General features: G+C 39.1%; 1 long non-coding RNA gene across 1 annotated transcript in view; it reads left to right on the top strand.

The window, feature by feature from the left end:
- The first annotated feature begins 14,271 nt into the window (after positions 1-14,271).
- Positions 14,272-23,400, top strand: part of LOC105369753 (uncharacterized) — a 28,424-nt gene continuing 19,295 nt past the window's right edge. The window contains exons 1-3 of the long non-coding RNA XR_944923.3: positions 14,272-14,371; positions 14,840-14,986; positions 16,159-16,285. This is a non-coding gene — a long non-coding RNA (uncharacterized LOC105369753). The remainder of the gene's footprint in view (positions 14,372-14,839; positions 14,987-16,158; positions 16,286-23,400) is intronic.

Raw genomic sequence — 23,400 nt, 5'->3', positions numbered from 1 at the left:
ACAAATGGAAGAATATTCCATGCTCATGGCTAGGAAGAATCAATATCGTGAAAATGGCCATACTGCCCAAGGTAATTTATAGATTCAATGCCATCCCCATCAAGCTACCAATGACTTTCTTCACAGAATTGGAAAAAACTACTTTAAAGTTCATATGGAACCAAAAAAGAGCCCGCATCGCCAAGTCAATCCTAAGCCAAACGAACAAAGCTGGAGGCATCACACTACCTGACTTCAAACTATACTACAAGGCTACAGTCACCAAAACAGCATGGTACTGGTACCAAAACAGAGATATAGATCAATGGAACAGAACAGAGCCCTCAGAAATAACGCCTCTTATCTACAACTATCTGATCTTTGACAAACCTGAGAAAAACAAGCAATGGGGAAAGGATTCCCTATTTAATAAATGGTGCTGGGAAAACTGGCTAGCCATATGTAGAAAGCTGAAACTGGATCCCTTCCTTATGCCTTATACAAAAATCAATTCAAGATGGATTAAAGACTTAAACATTAGACCTAAAACCATAAAAACCCTAGAAGAAAACCTAGGCATTACCATTCAGGACATAGGCATGGGCAAGGACTTCATGTCTAAAACACCAAAAGCAATAGCAACAAAAGCCAAAATTGACAAATGGGATCTAATTAAACTAAAGAGCTTCTGCACAGCAAAAGAAACTACCATCAGAGTGAACAGGCAACCCACAAAATGGGAGAAAATTTTCGCAACCTACTCATCTGACAAAGGGCTAATATCCAGAATCTACAATGAACTCAAACAAATTTACAAGAAAAAAACAAACAACCCCATCAAAAAGTGGGTGAAGGACATGAACAGACACTTCTCAAAAGAAGACATTTATGCAGCCAAAAAACACATGAAAAAATGCTCACTATCACTGGCCATCAGAGAAATGCAAATCAAAACCACAATGAGATATCATCTCACACCAGTTAGAATGGCAATCATTAAAAAGTCAGGAAACAACAGGTGCTGGAGAGGATGTGGAGAAATAGGAACACTTTTGCACTGTTGGTGGGACTGTAAACTAATTCATCCATTGTGGAAGACAGTGTGGCGATTCCTCAGGGATCTAGAACTAGAAATACCATTTGACCCAGCCATCCCATTACTGGGTATATACCCAAAGGACTATAAATCATGCTGCTATAAAGACACACGCACACGTATGTTTATTGCGGCACTATTCACAATAGCAAAGACTTGGAACCAACCCAAATGTCCAACAATGATAGACTGGATTAAGAAAATGTGGCACATATACACCATGGAATACTATGCAGCCATAAAAAATGATGAGTTCATGTCCTTTGTAGGGACATGGATGAAATTGGAAATCATCATTCTCAGTAAACTATCACAAGAACAAAAAACCAAACACCACATATTCTCACTCATAGGTGGGAATTGAACAATGAGAACACATGGACACAGGAAGGGGAACATCACTCTCTGGGGACTGTTGTGGGGTGGGGGGAGACAATTGTTATTGTCTGCTCAGCTTATCTCTACCATTCCTCTAATAACTGAACTCCATGGTTCAATATGCTTCCAAGAGACACTGTTAATCATGGAATCCCCAAATCCTCTCCACCCTCACCTCCCCACCCCCAACCCCTGTCATTATTCACTCATTCTTCCTGGCACAGTGACTGGTCCAGAAATGGGCACATGGTCAATGTCAGATCATTTACTCTCTTAGGATTTTTTTTTTCTTTTAAGACAGCCTCTTTTGGTCGCCCAGGCTGGAGTGCTGTGGCACGGTCTCGATTCACTGCAACCTCCGCCTCCCAGCTTCAAACGATTCCCCTGCCTCAGCCTCCCAAGTAGCTGGGATTACTGTCTTAGGAATTTTAGTCTCATGGATGAAATTGGAAATCATCATTCTCAGTAAACTATCACAAGAACAAAAAACCAAACACCACATATTCTCACTCATAGGTGGGAATTGAACAATGAGATCACATGGACACAGGAAGGGGAATATCACGCTCTGGGGACTGTGGTGGGGTGGGGGGAGGGGGGAGGGATAGCATTGGGAGATATACCTAATGCTAGATGACGAGTTAGTGGGTGCAGCGCACCAGCATTTCACATGTATACATATGTAACTAACCTGCACATTGTGCACATGTATCCTAAACTTAAAGTATAAAATAAAAGAAAGAAAAAGAAAAAAAATCAAAAACATCAACAGCAAAAAAGCAAACATTTTCATTTATCTATATAACCATTCATTTTTTTATAGATCTCTGTATAAATATGCTGTAAGTAGTAGATGAATACTTTTTTTTAATAAGAGCAGGAAACAAATGCCCCACTTGCCACTCAGCTGGCTCAGAGGTCAAGAAAGCTAGCTGACAGATATTTTCCAAATCACCAATCCCTTAAGAGTTCTTTCCTTCCTCTTTGGAAGAAATCTACTGCCAGCTCTCTTCTTCTGACATCCCAAAAGGAAAAGATACTTCAGAAAAGTGATTTCTTTAGGAAAAAAGTCAGTAAAAACTAGCACCACACCACTAAACCAGAGATACCAACTCCAGCTCCACAAAGACAAGCCTGAAGTATCTCTTTGAATTTTAATGGTCTATGATTATAAATCAGAAGTTATCACTTAAAGAGGACAGCACCAACCTTTTGTGAGAAAGAGCAATAGCTCTTAATTTCATGAAGTTTTGTGGGTCAGGGGTGAGAGGGTTGTAGGGAGGAAGGACACTTGGGAATGATGTCTAACCTATATCCTTCTGCTTTGAATTCCAGAGCAAGATAGTTTTTGTTCTTGGAGGTCTCTAGAGGAACTTGGTTGATTTAAAGAGTGAGCAACCTTTAAATGCTAAATCCCAAGAACATCAGACAGAGGTTTCATTAATCTCACTCACTCATACGGAGTTATACTGATTTAATTTCACCAAGGATAACTCCATGCCAGAGCACAGCAGAATTCAGCAGTATACTGATCTAACCTCATTCTATCTCACTGTCCCTCCCTGGATCCACAGGCCTGGGATTCCAAGGTCCTGCATCTTTCTGACTCAATTATCTTGCATTTATTTAATTTATCTCACCCCAAGATGAATGACAGAAACCTGTTCAGCAGTGTACTAAGACTCCCCCATTGACCTGAACCTGCTACTACTTTTTTTTCCAAAAGTCATTTTCTGACTCATCTTGTTTTATATTCTAAGACCCTGTCTTCCCCCTGCACTACTATGTGGCTTCTACTTTAATACAAATGACCCCAACAACAGTCATTTGAACAAATGATCCCACCAGTCCCAGTCATAGCTTTGGAGAAGACTAACGTGGCTTATAAAAAGGAATGCAAAAATAAAATAACAATGTTTCTTAAAAGCATGGGGATAGTTTGGCAATTGTGCATTCATCCTTTTAATCCTCAGCACAATTGTTTGGAAGTGAGTCTGGGGAGCCTAGACCCAAGGGATCTCACTAGAGGAGCAGGAAAATCTCTCAGCAAGTAGCCTGAAAATATGAAGATCTGGTCTCCCTGGCCCTTTCCATTGAAGAATACTAAGGATCTCTAAATACCCCACATAACATAAACATACATAAAATCTATACCTGTACCCCAACCCCCAAATGACAGCAAGGGAGAAGTGTTGGCTTTTAGTGTTATCAAATTCCTACCCAAGTTCTTTTTCTTACCCAAACACAAGTGTGCTACATAAATTAAGCCCCTCATCCAAGCATTACTAATAGTTAGGTCTTTGCACGAGCCCACAATATGAGGTCTCTAAGAACCATTCTACTATGATCAGTTAATCTCAAACTGAAAACCCATTTCTCTGAGGATTCATACTTTCAATATGAGGTTTGAGGCATCCCAAGGCACAGTCAAGCTGCAGCCTCACAATAATACTACATTCTAGGCATCATTCAATTCTGTTATAGTAATCCCCAGACATCCACCCTTGTCAGAATCCCAGAATACTGCACAAATGAAGCCAAAGCAGAAACACAGAAAATCATTTACCATATATATAAGCAACTGCTGTTATAGTCTGAGAACTAAAACATCTCAGACCTACATGCCTAATTTTATGTTGTATGGTACTACATCCCCACCTCAGAGAACCTTATTTCTATCCAATCTCTAAAAACCTGAAAGTTCACAAAATCCAAATTCATTAATTAAAATTTGTTCTCCACCAAATTAAGTAACCATGAAAATACATGTCCATGCTAAAGAATATAACCAATAGCAAACCTTATTTTCATTCCCAGTTCACAATACATTCCATAATTACACTGCATAATAACATAATTTCCTCCATTTTTCCTTCAAAATTCCAATTCTAAATATTTCCATTCAAAAGACACTAAATTCTCCATTTCCTAGGGAAATCACACTGATTTTCTGTTTTAACCCAGCTCCGGCTTCTATGGCTTTTTCTCAGCTTTTGATCCATATAGGGAAGAATAGCTGGCCGGGCGCGGTGGCTCACGCCTGTAATCCCAACACTTTGGGAGGCCGAGGCGGGCGGATCACGAGGTCAGGAGATCGAGACCATCCCGGCTAAAACGGTGAAACCCCGTCTCTACTAAAAATACAAAAAATTAGCCGGGCGTAGTGGCGGGCGCCTGTAGTCCCAGCTACTTGGGAGGCTGAGGCAGGAGAATGGCGTGAACCCGGGAGGCGGAGCTTGCAGTGAGCCGAGATCCCGCCACTGCACTCCAGCCTGGGCGACAGAGCGAGACTCCGTCTCAAAAAAAAAAAAAAAAAAAAAAAAAAAAGAATAGCTACCATTTACTGAAGGCCTATTCATCAGGCATTGTGTTTAAATTATCACTACTTCTTTCAACACCACTGGCAGGTGAATAGTGTTATTCACATTTTACAGAAGAGAACATGAACACCTCACCTAGGGAAAAGTTCAGAATGATCATTCTCATACCTCATAGGTAAACCCAACAAGGACACTCCTTTTCTATCTTCCATCCAGAAAAGAAAAGTTGCCATATCAGCTCTTTTCTCACAACTTCTCATTAATCAAAGCTTTGCTCAAGCAACCATCCTTCCCCTACCATAATTTCTACCACACCAGCTATGCCAGTTTCCAACGTATTGTCTCTCAGCATCAAATTCACCCTTTGTTGCCTGATACGTGAAAACAGATCTGGGCCTTTTAAATATTTTACATTTCCTAGCTGGCAAGCTGTTAAAACTTGTCAGTAAAGCCCATTGTAGAGATGCTGCAGGAAGAAGGGGTTTTCCTCGCTAGTTCTCTCCGGTCTCTCCATCACCAGGTTCCTAGAACAGAGTGTGGAAAACTGTGGCCTATAGGCTAAATCCAGCCTGCTGCCTGTTTTTGTATGGCTTGAGGGAATCCCTCAAGTGGTCTAGTATTTTGAGCTATAGAGAACAAGACAGAACATCCTGCCTCTATTTCCCCCTCCACTCCCAGCAAATGCCTCTCCAGCCCAGGTTGCTGTTTCCCACACCCTTTCCCCAGTTTTGAGTACACACCAACCAGGGTCATTACAGGGCCTGCTGCCCTGCCTTTGTTCCACATAGCTGCTCTTAGACATCCTGGTCCAAGTCGTATACAAACGTACACTAGATTCCCGAAAAGGGTGGTCTCTCGAGCTCCTGGTTCCAGGAATGCCTAAAGTAGCACATCTGACACTCTCTCCAGGCCTACTTATCAGCCTGTTTTGTCAGTACCCCAGGAGGTTATTCCTGCCTGCCCAGTGAATAGGGATCAGCTGTAGCCTGGGCAAACCAGCAAACCTCTCCTCCATCCAGTGGGCTGCAACTATATATTCTTCAACAAGGTCTAAACTCCCATCCCAACTTTGTTCTTGCTTGTTACTCTTCTATCATTGCTTAAAAATTCTTTATATTACCTTTCCCTATTTAACCTACTGTGTGGTTTCTGTCTCCTGAGGACCAGACTGAAAAAGTAACCCTATTACCCTGATTTGATCATCACACATTATATACATGTATCAAAATATCATATCATACCTCATAAATAGAATTATTAAAAATAAAAATAAAGGCAAAAAAGTAGCCCTCTTGTTGCAGAAGTGGGCTGTTTATTAAATTCAATCTGAAAAGCAAATGTACATCTTTAAATTGAAGCCCAGTCTTTAAAACCATTTTATATTTTTAAAAAAGACCATGGAGCTTTTATCTGTTTGTCATTAGAACTTTTAACATGTTAAGAATAACTTTTGCCGGGCGTGGTGGCTCACGCCTGTAATCCCAGCATTTTGGGAGGCTGAGGCAGGCGGATCATGAGGTCAGGAGATAGAGACCATCCTGGCTAACACGGTGAAACCCCATCTCTACTAAAAATAGAAACAAAATTAGCCGGGCATGGTGGTACGCGCCTGTAGTCCCAGTTACTTGGGAGGCTGAGGCAGGAGAATGGTGTGAACCTGGGAGGCAGAGCTTGCAGTGAGCCGAGATCGTGCCACTACACTCCAGCCTGCTGACAGAGTGAGACTCTGTCACAAAAAAAAAAAGAATAATTTTTAATAAGAAATATATAAGATCTGATAGCTTACAACTTGAAAAATTTTAAAGTAAATACTCATGTTTCACCACACATCAATAAATTTAAGATGGATCAAAGACTTAAACATAGAAAATGAAAGCAGAGAAAAGTTTGTATGAATATTTATTTGACTTCAGGCAGAAGAAGGATTTTCTAAGCTTAAAAGTAATGGAAAAAATAACAGTGGAAATTACTGATAGAAGATTATATAAAAATCTTAAAATTTGTACATTAAAAAATTTTAAAACAAGTGTACAAAGGCAAACTAGAGAATATTCTCCCAAAAAGAAGTCTAAGCATTAATCCCAAAATTAAGAGTAAATCTCAAAATTAACCAGTGGATAAATGAAAACTATGGTTAATATATGAAAAACAATCTCATTCTTCAGCTATAATTAACATACAAAATAAGCAATAATTTTTGCCTAGTGTAGTGACGAAGACCATGTTTCAATAAAAAGATAGACAGATGAGACTTCCATTTTCAGATAAGACGGATTAATCACCTCCCACCTCTCCCATTAACTACAACTAAAAACCTATAACTAAAACACATAGAACAACTACCAGAAGACTCTGAAAGGCAGATAAAAGCAAGATGACTGGATAAGGATTTCAGGACATAAGGAAAATGGAGCAGCAAGTTCCCCAGGGTTTGTTTTGCCTCACATATCCCAGCCTGGGCAGCAGTGCAACCTGAAAACCTAAAAACCAGAACTGCCGATGGTTGTCAATGGGCCTAGAAAGAAAAAGTCCCAAGAAAAATCGACTCCTCTAGTTTTAAGAATGGAAAACTGGGATGGTGACGGGGGGAGGGATGGAATCTTTTATTTTATCCTACTCCAGGGGATTGCCAGCAAACAACCAGCACACCTTCCCCTTCCCACCAGCCAACTGGTGGTCAACATGTGGGTAAAAGCCCTATAGACTCTCCCTGCTTATAGAAGTACAAGCAACTAATCTGTGCCCTCCCTCTCCTCACCAGCAATGAGATGGCCCCTGAGAGGCAAAGCCTGTTGCCTCCTACCCTAGGACAGGCAAGTGTGGCAGTGGCAGATCCGGCAGAGAACCCTGTCAACAGCGCAGGGAAGCTAATGCTCTGGTCAGAAACCCAGGAGTGGGGAACCCCAGGAACCAAAGAGTGAGTAGACAACCAAGAAAATGAGGGGGCTGGAGAAAGGGCACATTAAAGTTTGTGTATGGAGGTCCTTATCTCACCCCTAGTTGTACGTGCTAAGATTGATGAGAATCAGGGCTGGGCGCGGTGGCTCACGCCTGTAATCCCAGGACTTTGGGAGGCTGAGGCGGGCGGATCACAAGGCCAGGAGATCGAGACCATCCTGGCCAACATGGTGAAACCCCGTCTCTACTAAGACACAAAAAATTAGCCAGCTGTGGTGGCGCAGGCCTGTAGTCCCAGCTACTCAGGAGGCTGAGGCAGGGGAATCGCTTGAACCCAGGAGGCAGAGGTTGCAGTGAGCCGAGATAGCGCCACTACACTCCAGCCTGGTGACAAAGTGAGACTCTGTCTCAAAAAATAAATAAATAAATAACAAGAGATCCAAATAAATTTCATAATTGGAAATTTCAGTAACAGAAATAGTAAAATCACTTTAGGGGCTCATAGCAGAATAGAGATGACAGAAGAAAGAGTTGCTGAACTTGGAGATAGAAAGTATCCAATCTGAAAAACAGAAGAAAGGCCAGGCACTGTGGCTCACGCCTGTAATCCCAGCACTCTGGGAGGCCAAGGTGGGCAGATCACTTTAGGTCAGGCATTCAAGACCAGCCTGGCCAACACAGTGAAACCCCATCTCTACTAAAAATACAAAAACTGGCCAGGCATGGTGGCACGCACCTGTAGTCCCAGCTACTTGGGAGGCTGAGGCAGGAGAATCACTTGAACCCGGGAGGTGGAGATTGCAGTGAGCCAAGAGCTGAGATCGAACTACTGCACTCCAGCCTGGGAGACAGAGCAAGACCCTGTCTCAAAAAATTAGAAAATTAAAAAATAAGTAACAGAAGAAAAAAGTGAAAAAAATAATTCTTTTAGAATCAGATTTGACCCAGCAATCCCATTACTGGGTATGTACCCAAAGGATTATAAATCATTCTACTATAAAGACACATGCACACATATGTTTATTGCAGCACTACTCACAATAGCAAAGACTTGGAACCAACCCAAATGTCCATCAGTAATAGACTGGATAAAGAAAATATGGCACATAATACCATGGAATACTATGCAGCCATAAAAAGGATGAGTTCGTGTCCTTTGCAGGGACATGGATGAAGCTGGAAACCATCATTCTCAGCAAACTATCACAAGAACAGAAAACCAAACACCGCATGTTCTCACTCATAACTGGGAGTTGAACAATGAGAACACGTGGACATAGAGAGGGGAACATCACATACCGGGGCCTGTCGGGGGACTGGGGATTAGAGGAGGGATAATATTAGGAGAAATACCTAATGTAGGTCACGAGTTGATGGGTGCAGCAAACCACCATAGCACGTGTATACCTATGTAACAAAACTGCACGTTCTGCACATGTACTCCAGAACTTAAAGTATAATTAAAAAAAAAAAAAGAATCAGAGACCTCTGAGATATTATTTTTTAAAAAACATGTTTGTGTTACAAAAGTTCCAGAAGGAGAGGAGAAAGACATTGGAATAGAAGAAAATATGTATTTTAATAAATAATGGTTGAAAACTTCCCTAATTTGGTAAAAGGCATAAACTGACAGATCCATGAAGTACAGCAAAACCCAAATGTATCAACTTAAAGAAAACCACAGTCAGACAACATAATCAAACTGTGTAAGATAACTGGGAAAAGATATGGAAAAAAAAACTTGGAAGCAGACAAATAAATATAAGATTCAAATGATTGCATTGAGGCCAGAAATACGAGGAACATTTAAAAATGACTAGTAATTGGTCTACACGGCTTGTAAAATCTCTTCTATGGGTTGTAATTTGAATACGATATTTCCAACAACTGGATAAGCGATTGTACACACACAAAAAAGGAGATACTGAATAATTCACTAAAGCTTAATGCCTTCTCTGCATGAAAAAGATTAGAAAGCAAAAGAAAAGCCCTTACAATTCTCTAGGGCAGCGATTCTCAGAATACTGTCCTTATACTCGTCAGGAAACCAAACACTTTGGAGGAAATGCCACAAAGTCAAAACTATTTTCATAATAATTCTAAGACATTACCCACCTATGTTGACATTTACACTGATGGCACAAAACCAACAGTGGGCAAAATTCTGGCCTCCTAGCATAAATCACTGTATTCTTCATCACCACACACTCACAGGGAAGAAGAGAAAAAAAAGCAAGTTTAATTTTCAATATTTTTGATGAAGCAATAAAAATTATTAATTGTACTAAATTTCAACTTTTGAGTACTGTCTTCATCTGAAAAATCACAGTTCAGTGGGAAGATGCCACCTAAAAAGTCTAAGATCCTTGCCCCAAATGGACTGTGAGAACAAAAAGAGGGTATGTTTGAGTCCCACTGCTCTGAATTTCAAGATTTACAGTCAAACTCACAGGATGGCAGTTGTTTATCTGCCCTTAACTAGCATTTGGTCTGCTCAGGACCCTCCCTGTCACCAAACAGGAAACGCAAGAAAGGGAGTGTTGGCTGCCTGGCTGCTGACAAGCTAATCACAGGACTCAGTGACCTTCAATGAAGAGGGCTTTACTGGACTCATCTCAGTGAAACCTGCACAGGAATGAGATACAGGAGAACTACCAACGTGGTATCACTTAGGCATCATATGGGCAAACTCCGTTTGATCTCTTGGTTAGAGAAAGAAGATGAGTTGATGACAGAAGATGAAATTTCCCAAGTATTTGTATGTTCTACTTAAAAATCAAAGGGTCAAATCTTAAGTAGGACATTTTTAGGTAAAATGTAAAAGTCAACACAATTGTGCAAAAATGGAGATAAGTCATCTTAGAGAAACACTCAATGAATATCATCAGTGCAAGGTCTAACCTTATTCAACACAAGAAAATTCAAACTGGTGAATTTTCTGCTCTGCATATAACTAATATGAAAAATGTTTCAGTAGTAACTCTTAATTTCTGAGGTACATGTGAATACAAAATGGAGATAAACCTTATGAATGTAAGGACTGCAGAAGGCCTTCAGTTATCACTCATCCCTTTGGATACATATTATAATTCACATTAGAATAAAGCACAATGACAGTAAGCAGCATTTTCAAGTCTTTAGCATTAGATCTGTCCTTAGAGGAGAGAAGAGAATACTGAGGAGAATCTCTATAAATGTGATTGATACAGAAAAGTTTTCAGTGTAAGTTCTACTCCCATTGTGTTCATGAGAATTCACACTGGGGAAAAACCCTGTAACTGTCATGATTATACTGGAAAAATATTCAGGAAGCACTCACGTTTGATGTACACGAGAGCGCAAACTGGGGAGCTCAAACTGGGGACATATTGATTACAGCTTTTCCCTTACAGTGTACAAGAGAATACAAAATAGAATGCAAAGATGGTGGGAAAGCCTTTAGTATTACTTCATCCCTTAGAAAACATGAGAAACCACACTAGTGAAAAGCCCTATGAATGTAATCAGTACAAAAAATCCTTCCAATATAATCCTTCATTTACCACACATAAGAGTATATAATGGGGAGAATCCCTATGAATGTGGAAAAGCACGTATTGATCTTTCATCTGTTAGGCACATGAGACAATTTATATTAGACATCTTATGAATGTAACCAATGAGTACGGGACAATTTCTCTGTCCTTAGGTAATCAATGAGCAGTTGCAGCAAAGAGAAACACTTCGAATGTCATCAGTGTGAATGAGCCTTTCATTTTGCACAAGACAAATCACACAACAGGAATATATAAGCAATGGGTATCCTTCATCCATTGGAGAAGAATCTTTTAATATAATCAGCAAGGCTGGCTTCATGGGCATGTTACTACACAGGGCTTCAAGCTTGGGTTTTAATGCTGAAGTTGCCGTCTTACAATTCTTAATTTAGTTTTGAATTTGTGTTTTGTAAGTGAAGTCTTATGGAACCATGTAACATGTACTAGAAGCCCTAAAGCTCATGCAAAGACCTCCCGCCACCTCCTCCATTACTGGGGAAAGATTCTATATAACCATATACACAAGACCTCTAAAATTATTTTTACAGATAAATAGTATACAAAAATGTTTTTTTCACACTAATATATACAAGTATGCCAAAAAGAGACACAGCCTTCTTTACAAATCCCAAAATAAATAAACTCATGGATCCAAGGACTTAGGCTAGAAATATGAATCATGTAACAATACTGCAACCACAAGCCTGCTACAAAACTTAACAGATAAAAGAGCTAACTTTACAAAGCACCTAAATTGGTTCAGAAGTTATACTCTTTAAAACAGAGAATTCTATTAATACACTGTGCTAGATAAACATTGATCTAGCACTAATTGCCACAGGATGACAGCAAGTCCTAGAAACAAATCCCACATATTTCAACCCCCACCTCCATCACCACCAGAAGCAATTTGTCCCTCAAAAACCAGACAGCTCTGCTATAATAGCAGCTTTGATGGGCCAATACTTCAAAGGACAACTCCAACTTAAAATCAACCCAACATTTTTGCTATATGGAAATATTTGGTAAGTTTTTCCTCTAACACTGGATTCCTGTTCACTTATCAGCTTCCATATTTCTCAGATTTCAGAAATATTGAGATGTTCTTTCTCCACCACTCACTTCTAATTTCCCTTATTGGATGCTTGGGAAATACTCGCCTTCATCATACTTGTCCCACTGTCTTATATGCTGCTTTCTTCAACCATCAAAAGAATAAATAAAATTTACAGTTTATAATTATGTTTTAAACTATTTAAAAAAAAACCAATGGGGAAAAAGTCTCTAGGGCTTCTATGAAGCTTTTGGAGAGAAAAATGTATTTTTAAACCTTAGCAAAAAAGTTGAATTTCAGGACTAGTATCTGAAGGCCTTAATTAACCAGAAGAGGATAAAATATCCTTCATCTCATGTCTTAGAACTCTAAAATATGACTTTCTAGAAGACAAGGACCAGGCTACATGTGACTTACATTACAAAATGTTTGTTTTGTTGAGTTATTATGTTGACACTTATAAACTTTCAGATACGGTTGCTACTTTCTCCTAGTCCACTAGTTGCTTACATATAGCCATTCTTCATAAGCCCGTCACCTAAATGGGTCTTTTCTCCATGATCCATTTGCCTTAAAATCCCTAAGACACAAGTACCAAGTCTCTTCATCATGCACCAATAATAACAGCAATGCCTACAGTTGGATAAAACTGAAGAAGGTATCCCTAGTCCTAAAAACTTCGAAATAATATGTTAAACTAATTCTGTCCTGTCTGCAGCTCCTGAACTTCAACAGTTATTTTTCTTTTTAAATAATAGTTATATCCTACTTTTCTGACTCATTAATATAAGTGCATTGCATAGAATGTAGAAAATACAAAAAGTACTACAGACCAGGGGTCCCCAATCTCCAGGCCACCAACCGGTACCTGTCAGAAACCAGGCAGCACACCAGGTGGTGGGCAGCCAGCATTACCTCCTGAGCTCTGCCTCCTGTCAGATCAGTGGCGACATTAGATTCTCACAGGATCAGCACCCTATCGTGAACTGCTCATGTGAGGAATCTAGGCTGCCCACTCTTTATGAGACTCTAATGCCTGATGATGAGTTTCATCCCGAAACCATCTCCCCAACCCCCGTTCTCCCCAACGCCCCCGTCCATGGAAGAATTGTCTTCCACAAAAGTGGTCCCTGATGCCAAAAAGGTTGGGGACCGCTGCTACAGACTAAAGAAAACAAAGTGTGCATATTCCTAAGGCCTTATAAATGAAATCACCTACTCTGAAGAAATTAAAGCAGACCTTTTTTAGAAAGAGAAAAAAAGTGAGGGAAGGGAGAGAGCCCCCAAATAAGTTAAGAATCCAAGGAGGCTTGCTCCTCTAATAGTCACCAAAAAGTAGGGGCTTTTCACTTCCTAAAAGAAACGGAAATTTTCCCAAAGAAAATGGAATACGCAACACATCCTCTGCTTATTCCATCTTTCTTCTGTTCACTTTACCTGCACTGATGGTATAATGGGCCTTTTTCTGCCTCTTCCATTTTTAGGAAAACGTTTGTCTTCAGAAAACCTCCATTCCCGGTTCTTCTGAAAACAAAAATTAAGTCTAAGAATTATTTAAAAGATTAAGAATTTTCAAAAATTCTTAATCTTTCCCACCCTAGACGTGTGGGCTCATAACAGGAAGACTTCATAGTGACATGGGCAGAAGGCACCAGGGGAGCTGGAGGGGCCCTCAGGAGGCCAGGGGAGTCCCAAATTCACACGGTAGCTCACAGTACTGGGGAATCTCCTTTTCAGAGATGGATGAGCCACTCTTCCACTCTCCCAGAGCTGCCTGGACAGAGAAAGGTAGGCCATGGGCCTTGAGATCCAGGAAAGCACATGCTAAACGGCACAGAAGCCCAGGGATTAGGGTGCTACTTCTATCCAAGAAGGAAAACAAAACAAAACAAAACCAAAAGCCAAAAAACTGAAATTCTCCTCCCAGGAGTCTCAGCGCGGTGGGAAGCAAGTCCGTTGGCCGAGAGAGCCGCCGTTCTCCTGGCTCCGCCCCACCGCAGTCCGCTCTTATTTCCGGAGGTGGAAGAGAAATGGCTCCTTAGACCCTTGCTGGGGATAGTTACTGAAAGGGGCACTTTTTTCTTTTACAGCCCATAAAGAGCGCTTTCCCGTAAGGAGAAGCAGAATAACAAAAAAGACAAATTGTCAAAGGGCAAAATGTACTCATTTGGATAAGGCCCCAGAGCGAAGGGAACACAAGGGGGATGACTTCTGCGAGGTTGAGGATTGAAAGATACTGGCCAAATGGATGCCTGAGACTTTTGGAGTTGAGGAGGAGATGCTAACCAAAGGGCTAGGCTGGGTAGAGAACAGGAAACAAGACGTTTAGTTAGAAGGAATGGCATAGGCAGAGACAGCCTTTCTCCACCATACAATGCAGACTTTTTATTTTATTTTGAGACAGGTTCTCGCTCCGTTACCAAAGGCTGGAGTGCAGTGGTGCCATCACGACTCACTGCAGCAGCCTTCACCTCCCCGAGATCAGGCGATTCTTCCACCTCAGCTACCCCAGTAGCTGGGACTACGGGCGCACGCCACTACAGCTGGCTATTTTTTGTTTGTTTGTTTTTTAATGTAGAGATGTGGTCTCCCTGTGTTGCCCAGGCTGCTCTGGAACTCCTGGGGGAAAGTGATCCTCCTGCCTAGGCCTTCCAAAGTGTTGTGATTACAAACGTGAGCTACCTGCCTGGCCAAGGATCTGGAATTTTTGTTGTTAACACTCCAGGTAATTGGATAGATAGATAGATGATAGATAGATAGATAGATAGATAGATAGATAGATAGATAGATAGATTTTATGTATTTATTTATTTATTTTGCTGCTGAGACCAGGATTTTGCCTCATTGCCCCAGGGTGGTCTCAAATTCCTGGCCTCAGCAGTCCTCCCACTTGGCCCCCCAGAGTGCTGGGATTACAGGTGTGAGCCACCAGGCCCGGCCTAGATTTCTGAATAATTAAGGAAGAATTATTTTTCCCTCTGTCCATCCACACGCAAGTGCTTCCTCTCTAACAATCTTTCCTGCTACAGGCTCTCTGTTTGGCATGCCTAGGGAGTGGCACTGAGTGTTCAGGCTTTCTCTTGACTTTATTCTCCTGCCCATCATCAAGTTTTTAGCTAGCCATATTATTAAAATTAATTCCCAATATTACTGCTAGTTTATGCCTTAAAATGTGCGAATGATAAACATAACAAAATGCTTGTAAGTACAAATATATCCTCAGGGGAATTTCAGTTTTGTTTTGTCATGGTGGGACCTAATTCTCAAAGTTTGACTGTGCGTCAGAAACATCTGAAAGATTTAAAAAACACATTGGGCTGGGCACGGTGGTTCATGCCTGTAATCCCAACACTTTCGGAGGCTGAGGCAGGCAGATCGCTTGAGCTCAGGAGTTTGAGACCAGCCTGGGCAACATGGTGAAACCTCATCTCTACAACAACAAAAAAATACAAAAAATTAGCTGCTTGTGATGGCACGTGGTCCCAGCCACTCGGAGGCTGAGGTGGGAAGATCACTTGAGCCGGGAGGTGGAGGTTGCAGTGAGCCGAGATCATACCACTGCACTCTGGCCTGGGTGACAGAGTGAGACCCCATCTCAAAATAAACAAAACAAAACAAAACAAAACAAAACAAAACAAAAACAGATTGCTGGGCCCTACCTGAAAAGTTTCTGATTTAGTAGGTTCAGGGTGAGGCTCAATAATTTGCATTTTTAACAAATTTCCAGATGATGCTGCTGTTCTGATGACCACACTTTGAGAACTACTGGTCTAGCATATCTAATTATAATAGGTAGCATTTACTGAAGTTTCTGCAGTATGTTAAAGGAGTGGTTGACTTAACATGCAATTCTTATCAATACCATAACAGATAGGGGTTAATATTTCTATCTTATAGGAGGAAACCTGGCTGAGGATAATGACTGAGATTACTTATTGTAAGAGAAGGCTGCTGAAGTTTAGAAAAACACACCTATCCACCATCAGGCGGGCCACTGGCTTCACATTCTTCTTTTATCTAAAAAGTAAGCAGGCATAGAATGTTATGTGCTATGGTTTAAAAATACCTTTGCTGAACTGAGTGTTCTCTTGGGTAGTGGTTTTGGGCAAATAATTTCACCTCTGCAAGTCTTAGTGTCCTCAAAATGGGGGACAGATTGGACTACTGGAGTTAGGCCATCAAGACCCCTAACCTGTTACTATTTTCCCCCGTTGGGTCCCATGTTTTGAACAATTTTTATTTTTATTTTATTTATTTATTTATTTATTTATTATGTATGTATTTATGTATTTTTTCGGATGGAGTCTCGCTGTGTTGCCCAGGCTGGAGTGCAGTGGCGTGATCTCGGCTCACTGCAAGCTCTGCCTCCCGGGTTCATGCCATTCTCCTGCCTCAGCCTCCCCAGTAGCTGGGACTACAGGCGCCCGCCACCACGCACGGCTAGTTTTTTGTATTTTTTAGTAGAGATGGGGTTTCACTGTGTTAGCCAGGATGGTCTGGATCTCCTGACCTTGTGATCCACCCGCCTCAGCCTCCCAAAGTGGAACAATTTTTATTATATTAGCCAAAGACATTTTCGTTAGCATAAGATAACCATGGTTGCCACCCTGAGTTGGTATTTCAGCCAAAAACAAAGAAACAAGATTTTATTTAGCATGCACAAACTTAGGTAGCTATGTGATTTCTCTTAGAACACTGAAATATTGAGAGTTGCTTATGAATGCCTAGAGGTTTGTAGACCATGGGCTCAACACAATAGAAATGGTTTGTTTTCAAGGTTCTTTCTTGTAATACTAAATGAATCTGTAAGGCTCAGTGCTGATGTAATCATTATTGCCTTGACCAGTGCTTGAGTATGTGGGATAACACCTTCGATGCCTCTGTTTCTATACTTTTGCCAAGAGATGAAATAGGAATGAGAAGGTGAAATGGAGTTCAGGAAAATGAGGTTGTGTTTATACCAACACACTGCTGTCCCTTTCATTGTTAATGTCTGTTAATTGTGTGGGGCTCTTTCTATGATATTATGTTCTCTCTGTTTTTATATTTTCAAATATTTCACTGTGGATAGATTTAACTTTCTCTCTTTTAAGATAGATAATGCTCTGTTCGCCATTGGAGATGGCCTGTTGTTATTGCCAGCGGTAGTAGCATAAGTATTGGTATTCCCATTTCATTCCTCGGCAAAAGTATAAAAAGAGAAGCATTGAAGTTGTTATCCCACTGACTCAATACAAAATCCATACATTTTTCCATGTAAAATAATTCTTGCACTATCCTCAAAATGTAAGAGGAGTTGAGAAAACAGACATATTTTTAAGGAAGAAATTGACTGTACTGCATATCACATATTTGAGATAACCATTTGCCCAAATAAGCATAATGGCCACATTAAACAGGAAAACTGTGTTAGGCTATTATAAAACAATCAAGGGCAGGGACCACCCATTTGTTCTTTTTTGCCCTCAAGACTTTAAAAGGCTAGTAGACTACGAATGATAATATTACCTCATATTATTGAGCCATTGTGTATAATGTTATTCATAGATTGAGGCCTCCATCCCAGAGAGATCTGTGCTACCATATCACTAACTCCAACACAGTGACTGGGTCCTAATCAAGAACCATTTATGAAATTCCTTATTGGCTCTTTTTTGGATCAGACCATAGCAAGTATCCTTGATAGTTCACACCATTCAAAAGTGCTGGATGAGAAGTCTAAATACAATGCATCTCACTGTTGGAAATTTTCTATTCTAACTATTAATGTAGCAGACTACCTTCTTTTGATTATCAAGCAGACATAAAATGCCATCAACAAAACAGAATGCTTTTATGTGTTATCACTATCAATTGATGTGCAAAGAAATTATTGAGATAAGGGTGTTACATCTTCTTGGGAACCCACTATGTAAAGGATATACCCTGTGACAGTGCTATGGACAGATTAATACTTTCACAGACTAAATGCAAATACTTTTACAAATGAAATGAAATCTTAATTATCTGCAGAGCAACATAGGCAAAATCTATATAGGTTGTAGAATAAATGGCGAGGTAACCAAATTGGTATTGTTGCTACCATTTTTAATATCCTTAATTGATTCACCTTGAGTAACCTTTCCCTTGTTCCCTCTTGTATTCCATTGGCCCCTGAAACCACCTTCTCCTTAACCCCTCCTCGATGAAACACCAGCTAATTTTCTAGAAACCCTTCCATTCTAAATAAAAGAATACGTTTTATCATTCAGGGATAGAATTAGTCACTTCTCAAGACTCCCTCTTTATTTGGATTCCCAAACTTAATTCAGCTACTGATTGGTGTTTTAATTGATTGAACAAAAGAATTAAGAGCATACTCACCAAAATCTAATTATACCATTTATTATTGGACTATGTTATAATAAATTTCTTTTTTTATTTACTTAAGTATTGAAAAAGTTATATTAGGCAAAAAAAGATCTAATAATTCTACTAAATTATTTATCTACTCCACTCTACATTACTAGTGGAGGGTGTCCAGGTTCTTGGCATTTTGAACAAAGAATTGCACAAAATGCACAAATAAAGCAACAAAAGAAAAGCACAGATTTATTGAAAAGAAAGTACATGCCACAGAGTGGGAGCAGTCTTGAGCAAACAGCTCATGAGCACTAGTTACAGAATTTTCTGAGGTTTAAATACCCTCTAGAGGTTTCTCATTGGTTACTTGGTGTATGCCCTATGCAAATGAAGAGGGTGAAGTAAAATTACAGGGTTATTTACTTGGTGTACACCCTGTACAAATGAAGAGGAAGTTTCCTGTCATAGCTGAAGTGAAGTTACAAAGTTATTTACTTGGGCATAGAAAGTTGGGGTTTTTCTGTTGGATTTAGTTCTAGGAAGTCCTTAGGCTCCCTGCCTCCAGACCCTATTCTCCTGCCTCAATAGGATAACAGAGGAAAATTGCTAAATCAAAGAAATATTTACTGGTGGGAAACACACAGGATGTGAAATCTTATTATGTGACCTTCCTTGTTAGTGCAACAAACATTTCCATATATAGATGTTCCCTGACCTTGGCTTCCACTAGTCCTTGGTCACAACAATGTCTTCATCATTTAGGAAATGTTTGGGAATGAAAAGTACAAGGATGTGTGTCGCTGTTACCTCTAAGGTTGCTGTGAGGGTAGATGAGAAAATGTGTGTCAAGCGTTTAGTGTAGTGCCTGGAATATAGTAAACCAATGAATAAATGTCAGATGTATTAACTATGCAGCCCATGACAAGTTACTCAGCTTTCTTATCTATAAAATTGAGGTACCAATACCACCCTGGCAGGGTTGTCATGACATTAGTAATGATTTATAATAAACTGTCAAACACTGGGCCTGGTACTTAATATGTATCTAATAATCAATTTAAAATAATTTAATAATACATCTTATTTACTATCTAAAAAGTAAGGTGATTAGATGGGTTAGCATTTCCAACTTTATAGCTGAATAACCATGAAGCTTTGCAATACCTAATAAACACAGTACAGTCTTTTCCACAACAAAGTGTTGTCATGTGTCACAAGGCTGGCCAAAGCCTGAATCTCTGATGGGCCATTTAGTGACTAATGAATAAGAGGTTAGAAAATGTAATGAATAAGCAAGTTCAAGTAGGCCTACATGGTAAAGAAGAGTCAGAACAGGACTTACACACAAATCAAGGTTATCGTCTGATAAGGGTCAGGCTCCAAGTGAAATCACCACATAGACTTTGAAGTGATTTTATAGAGAAGGGTAAGAATGAGGGCTTCTGTGGGTCCACTGTAGGGGTTTAGTGTATAACACTGTGATGATATGTAATATTGATGTTAGAAAGTATTGAATATACTCAAGAGTTTAGAACCAATTAGAAGATATAAGCAAAGCACAGCTGCTATAATATGATTGGATCCAGACAGTGTTATAACTAGATTGGTGGTATATCTCTAGAAGAGTGAGAAAATGGTGCAGAGTTTTACTTTTAACCCTTATGAGATAATAATGATGATAATAATAACTATAATAATATTCTTGAGTGATTAATATGTCCAAAGGTCATTTATTTTACATTTATTCATTTAACTGATCTTTCTTAAGCACCAAGTATGTGTTAATAGGCATTACTTTAATGGAGAATAGGATAGTTAACAAGTCGGACAAGATTCCTGCTGTTATTTGGCATATTTTCTATTGGATTTCGTAGATTATCATATATAAGTCTTCCAACAATGTCTTACAAGTATTATTAAAATTGTTTTATAGATAAGGAAACCTGAGGAACAGACAAGTTAAATAACTTTCTGAAACTCACAAAGCCAGCAAGTCAGGAAATAAATCCAGGTGGTCTAAGGTCACTGTTTTAGTCAGTCTGGGTACTAAAACAAAGTACCATAGCCTAGGTGGCTTATAAACAACAGATATTTATTTAATATTTTATTTAATGGATTTAATATTTATTTATTAAATATTAATATAATATTTATGGAGGCTGGAAGTTTGAGATCAGAATGTCAGCATGGTGGAGTTCTGATGAGGGCCCTCTTCCAGGTTGCAAACTGCCAGCTTCTTATTGTAGCCTCACATGGAAGAAAGAGAGGGAGGTAGTTCCCTGGCCTCTTCTTATAAGGGCACTAATTCCATTCACGAGAGCTCCACCTTCATTACTTAATTACCTCCCAAAGATTCCACCTCCAAATATCATCACACTGTGGATTAGCTTTCCACATATGACTTTTAGGGGTATATAACATGTAGATCATTGCAAAGGCCTTTGGATATTAACCAATAATATAACCAATAACTGGATATTATCCAATAACATGGATATTATTTCAGTGCTGCAATAGTCCAACTTTTATAAACCCAATTAAGGATATCAATAAATGTAACCAAGTTAATATTATAAGTCAGAGATTTTTACAACTTTCCATAAATTTCAAGTGAAAGAATTTTTAGAGCCCAATTTTCACAATGTCGTCTGAGTTCCACAAGAACCAACTAATAAAATACCCTAGCACACATTTGTCATAACAAATGTCGGTTGTAACTGGAAATCCACATTAAATTTGAATATTCCCCAATAGTTTAAAAAGTAATTATAAATATTCTTTTCTAGCTACATGTATTTATTTATGTATTAGCCCATTCCCAGCAGATTTTATTTCATTCTTTCACAGTAAACAAATTCAGGGAATTTTTACTGTAAGTTTTACTGTAGTTCAAATCCAGTAAGTTTTACTGTAGTTTTCATGTTAATAATTTATATGGGTTAAAATAAGTTTTACTGTAGTTTTCATGTTAATGGTTTATATGGGTTAAAACTTGTACCCTCATTCTTAATTTTGTGGTACTCTATAGTCACCATATGAAAGAAATAAAGTTACTTTTGGGGAAATTACTTGAATAAGGTCAAATGAGATCTGCAACTGTGGGATACACTTTTGTCAACATTTTAAAAGGCCAACCAGGCTTTGGTCATTGTACATTGATATGGTATAGGCCTATGCTTTGATTATATTCATTTCAAAGCTCTGTATTAATTAGGAAATAATGGCTCATTCTGAGAGGAAATGATTATATTTGATTTTGAGAATTTTGCATTTGAGCTGATAAAATGAGATACACCAGAAAAAAGTGAAAACATGAAAATTAAGCTTCAGTGAAAGTGAAGTATAGGAAGGTTTTAAATATTTTGATAATTAATAGATTATATATCATATCAATATATTATATATTCCTCCCTGACCTCATTCTTGAAATCTCACCCAATCCTTGACCTTCCCTGGCAAAGATCAAAATTGAGAAAAAGATCGGGAGTGGGGTAAGTCTCAGGAATAAAATAAGAGGGCACCTGATGTTCACATTGCTTGGTAATGAAAAATAATAAAGGCTTTTTAAAGCAGTGTTAATGTGTCACCAAGGTCATTAAATCAGTTTGGAACCTGGCAGCATTTGTGCACACGAGTAACCAGACTCCCTATTGCAAGCCCTCATGTAATTTTAAAGTGGGTCATAGAGTCTAGGTAGCTTTGGAAAAACTTTTTTCCAATGTGAGCTCTTTTCTCTATAGGTACTATTCTTTGACAAGCCAGGCCAGATAGTCTGGATTAGTCCCTGCTTATGCAATGCAGGCTGCTACGTTTAAAACACGCTTTTATTCATTTTTAAAAGAAATGCATGCTTATTAATCACAGTTTGGAAAACCGGAAATTAGAACGAAGAAAAAATAACCCATAGCTTCACCATCCAATACCTTATGCAAATTTAGAAGTATTTTCTAAATCTTGTTTTATTTGTATAGTTAAAAAAACACTTGAAATCATATTGTATAATTATGAATGCTGGATTTTTTACTAAACATTGTAAGTATTTTACTATGTTGTTAGACATATAAATATTAACTTTCATGTATTTAAAAAATTAAAGAAATTTTTAAAGATCAAACTTAAGCTACTGCATAGTATTCCAGAGTTTATTTAATTATTGCCCTTTGACAGTTACTTATATTTTTTTCTGTTTTTAATACTGCAAACATGCTACACTGGATATCCTTTTATATTCTTCTTTGTGTATATATGTATATAATTCTCTGGGAGAGTTCTAGAAATGGAATTCCTAGTTGAAGGGTATATACATTTATATTTTGGTATATATTGCCAAATTGCCCTCCAAAAAGGCTGGGCTAATTTAAATTACTCCCAACAGTGTTTTATTGTTTGTTTGTTTGTTTGTTTTGAGACAGGGTCTCATTCTGTTGCCCAGGCTACAGTGTAGTGGCACAATCATAGCTCACTGTAACCTGGAACTCCTGGGCTCAAACAGTCCTCTCAGTGGGATCTTGCTACGTTGTTCAGGCTGGTCTGGAGCTCCTGGCCTCAATGGATCCTCCTGCCTCAGCCTCGGTGGGATTACAGGCATGAGCCACCATGCCTGGCTGTGTTTTATTGTTTTAATTTGCATTTCCTTATCGGTGCAACTGAGCATCTTTTCATCTGTTTATTTTTACTTCTTCTTTCGTGAATTGTTCTTCCTATCCTTCTCTAGTTTTTCACTGGGCTATTTATTGACTTGTAGGAGCTCTTTATATTCTGGGAGACAGAGAAATGACAGTGTCAGATAGGAGCTGG

This window comes from Homo sapiens, chromosome 12, assembly GCF_000001405.40.
Source record: "Homo sapiens chromosome 12, GRCh38.p14 Primary Assembly".
Taxonomy (NCBI): Eukaryota; Metazoa; Chordata; class Mammalia; order Primates; family Hominidae; genus Homo; species Homo sapiens.
Note: the sequence above shows the minus strand (reverse complement) of the source record. Positions and strands in the feature narration are given on the sequence as shown.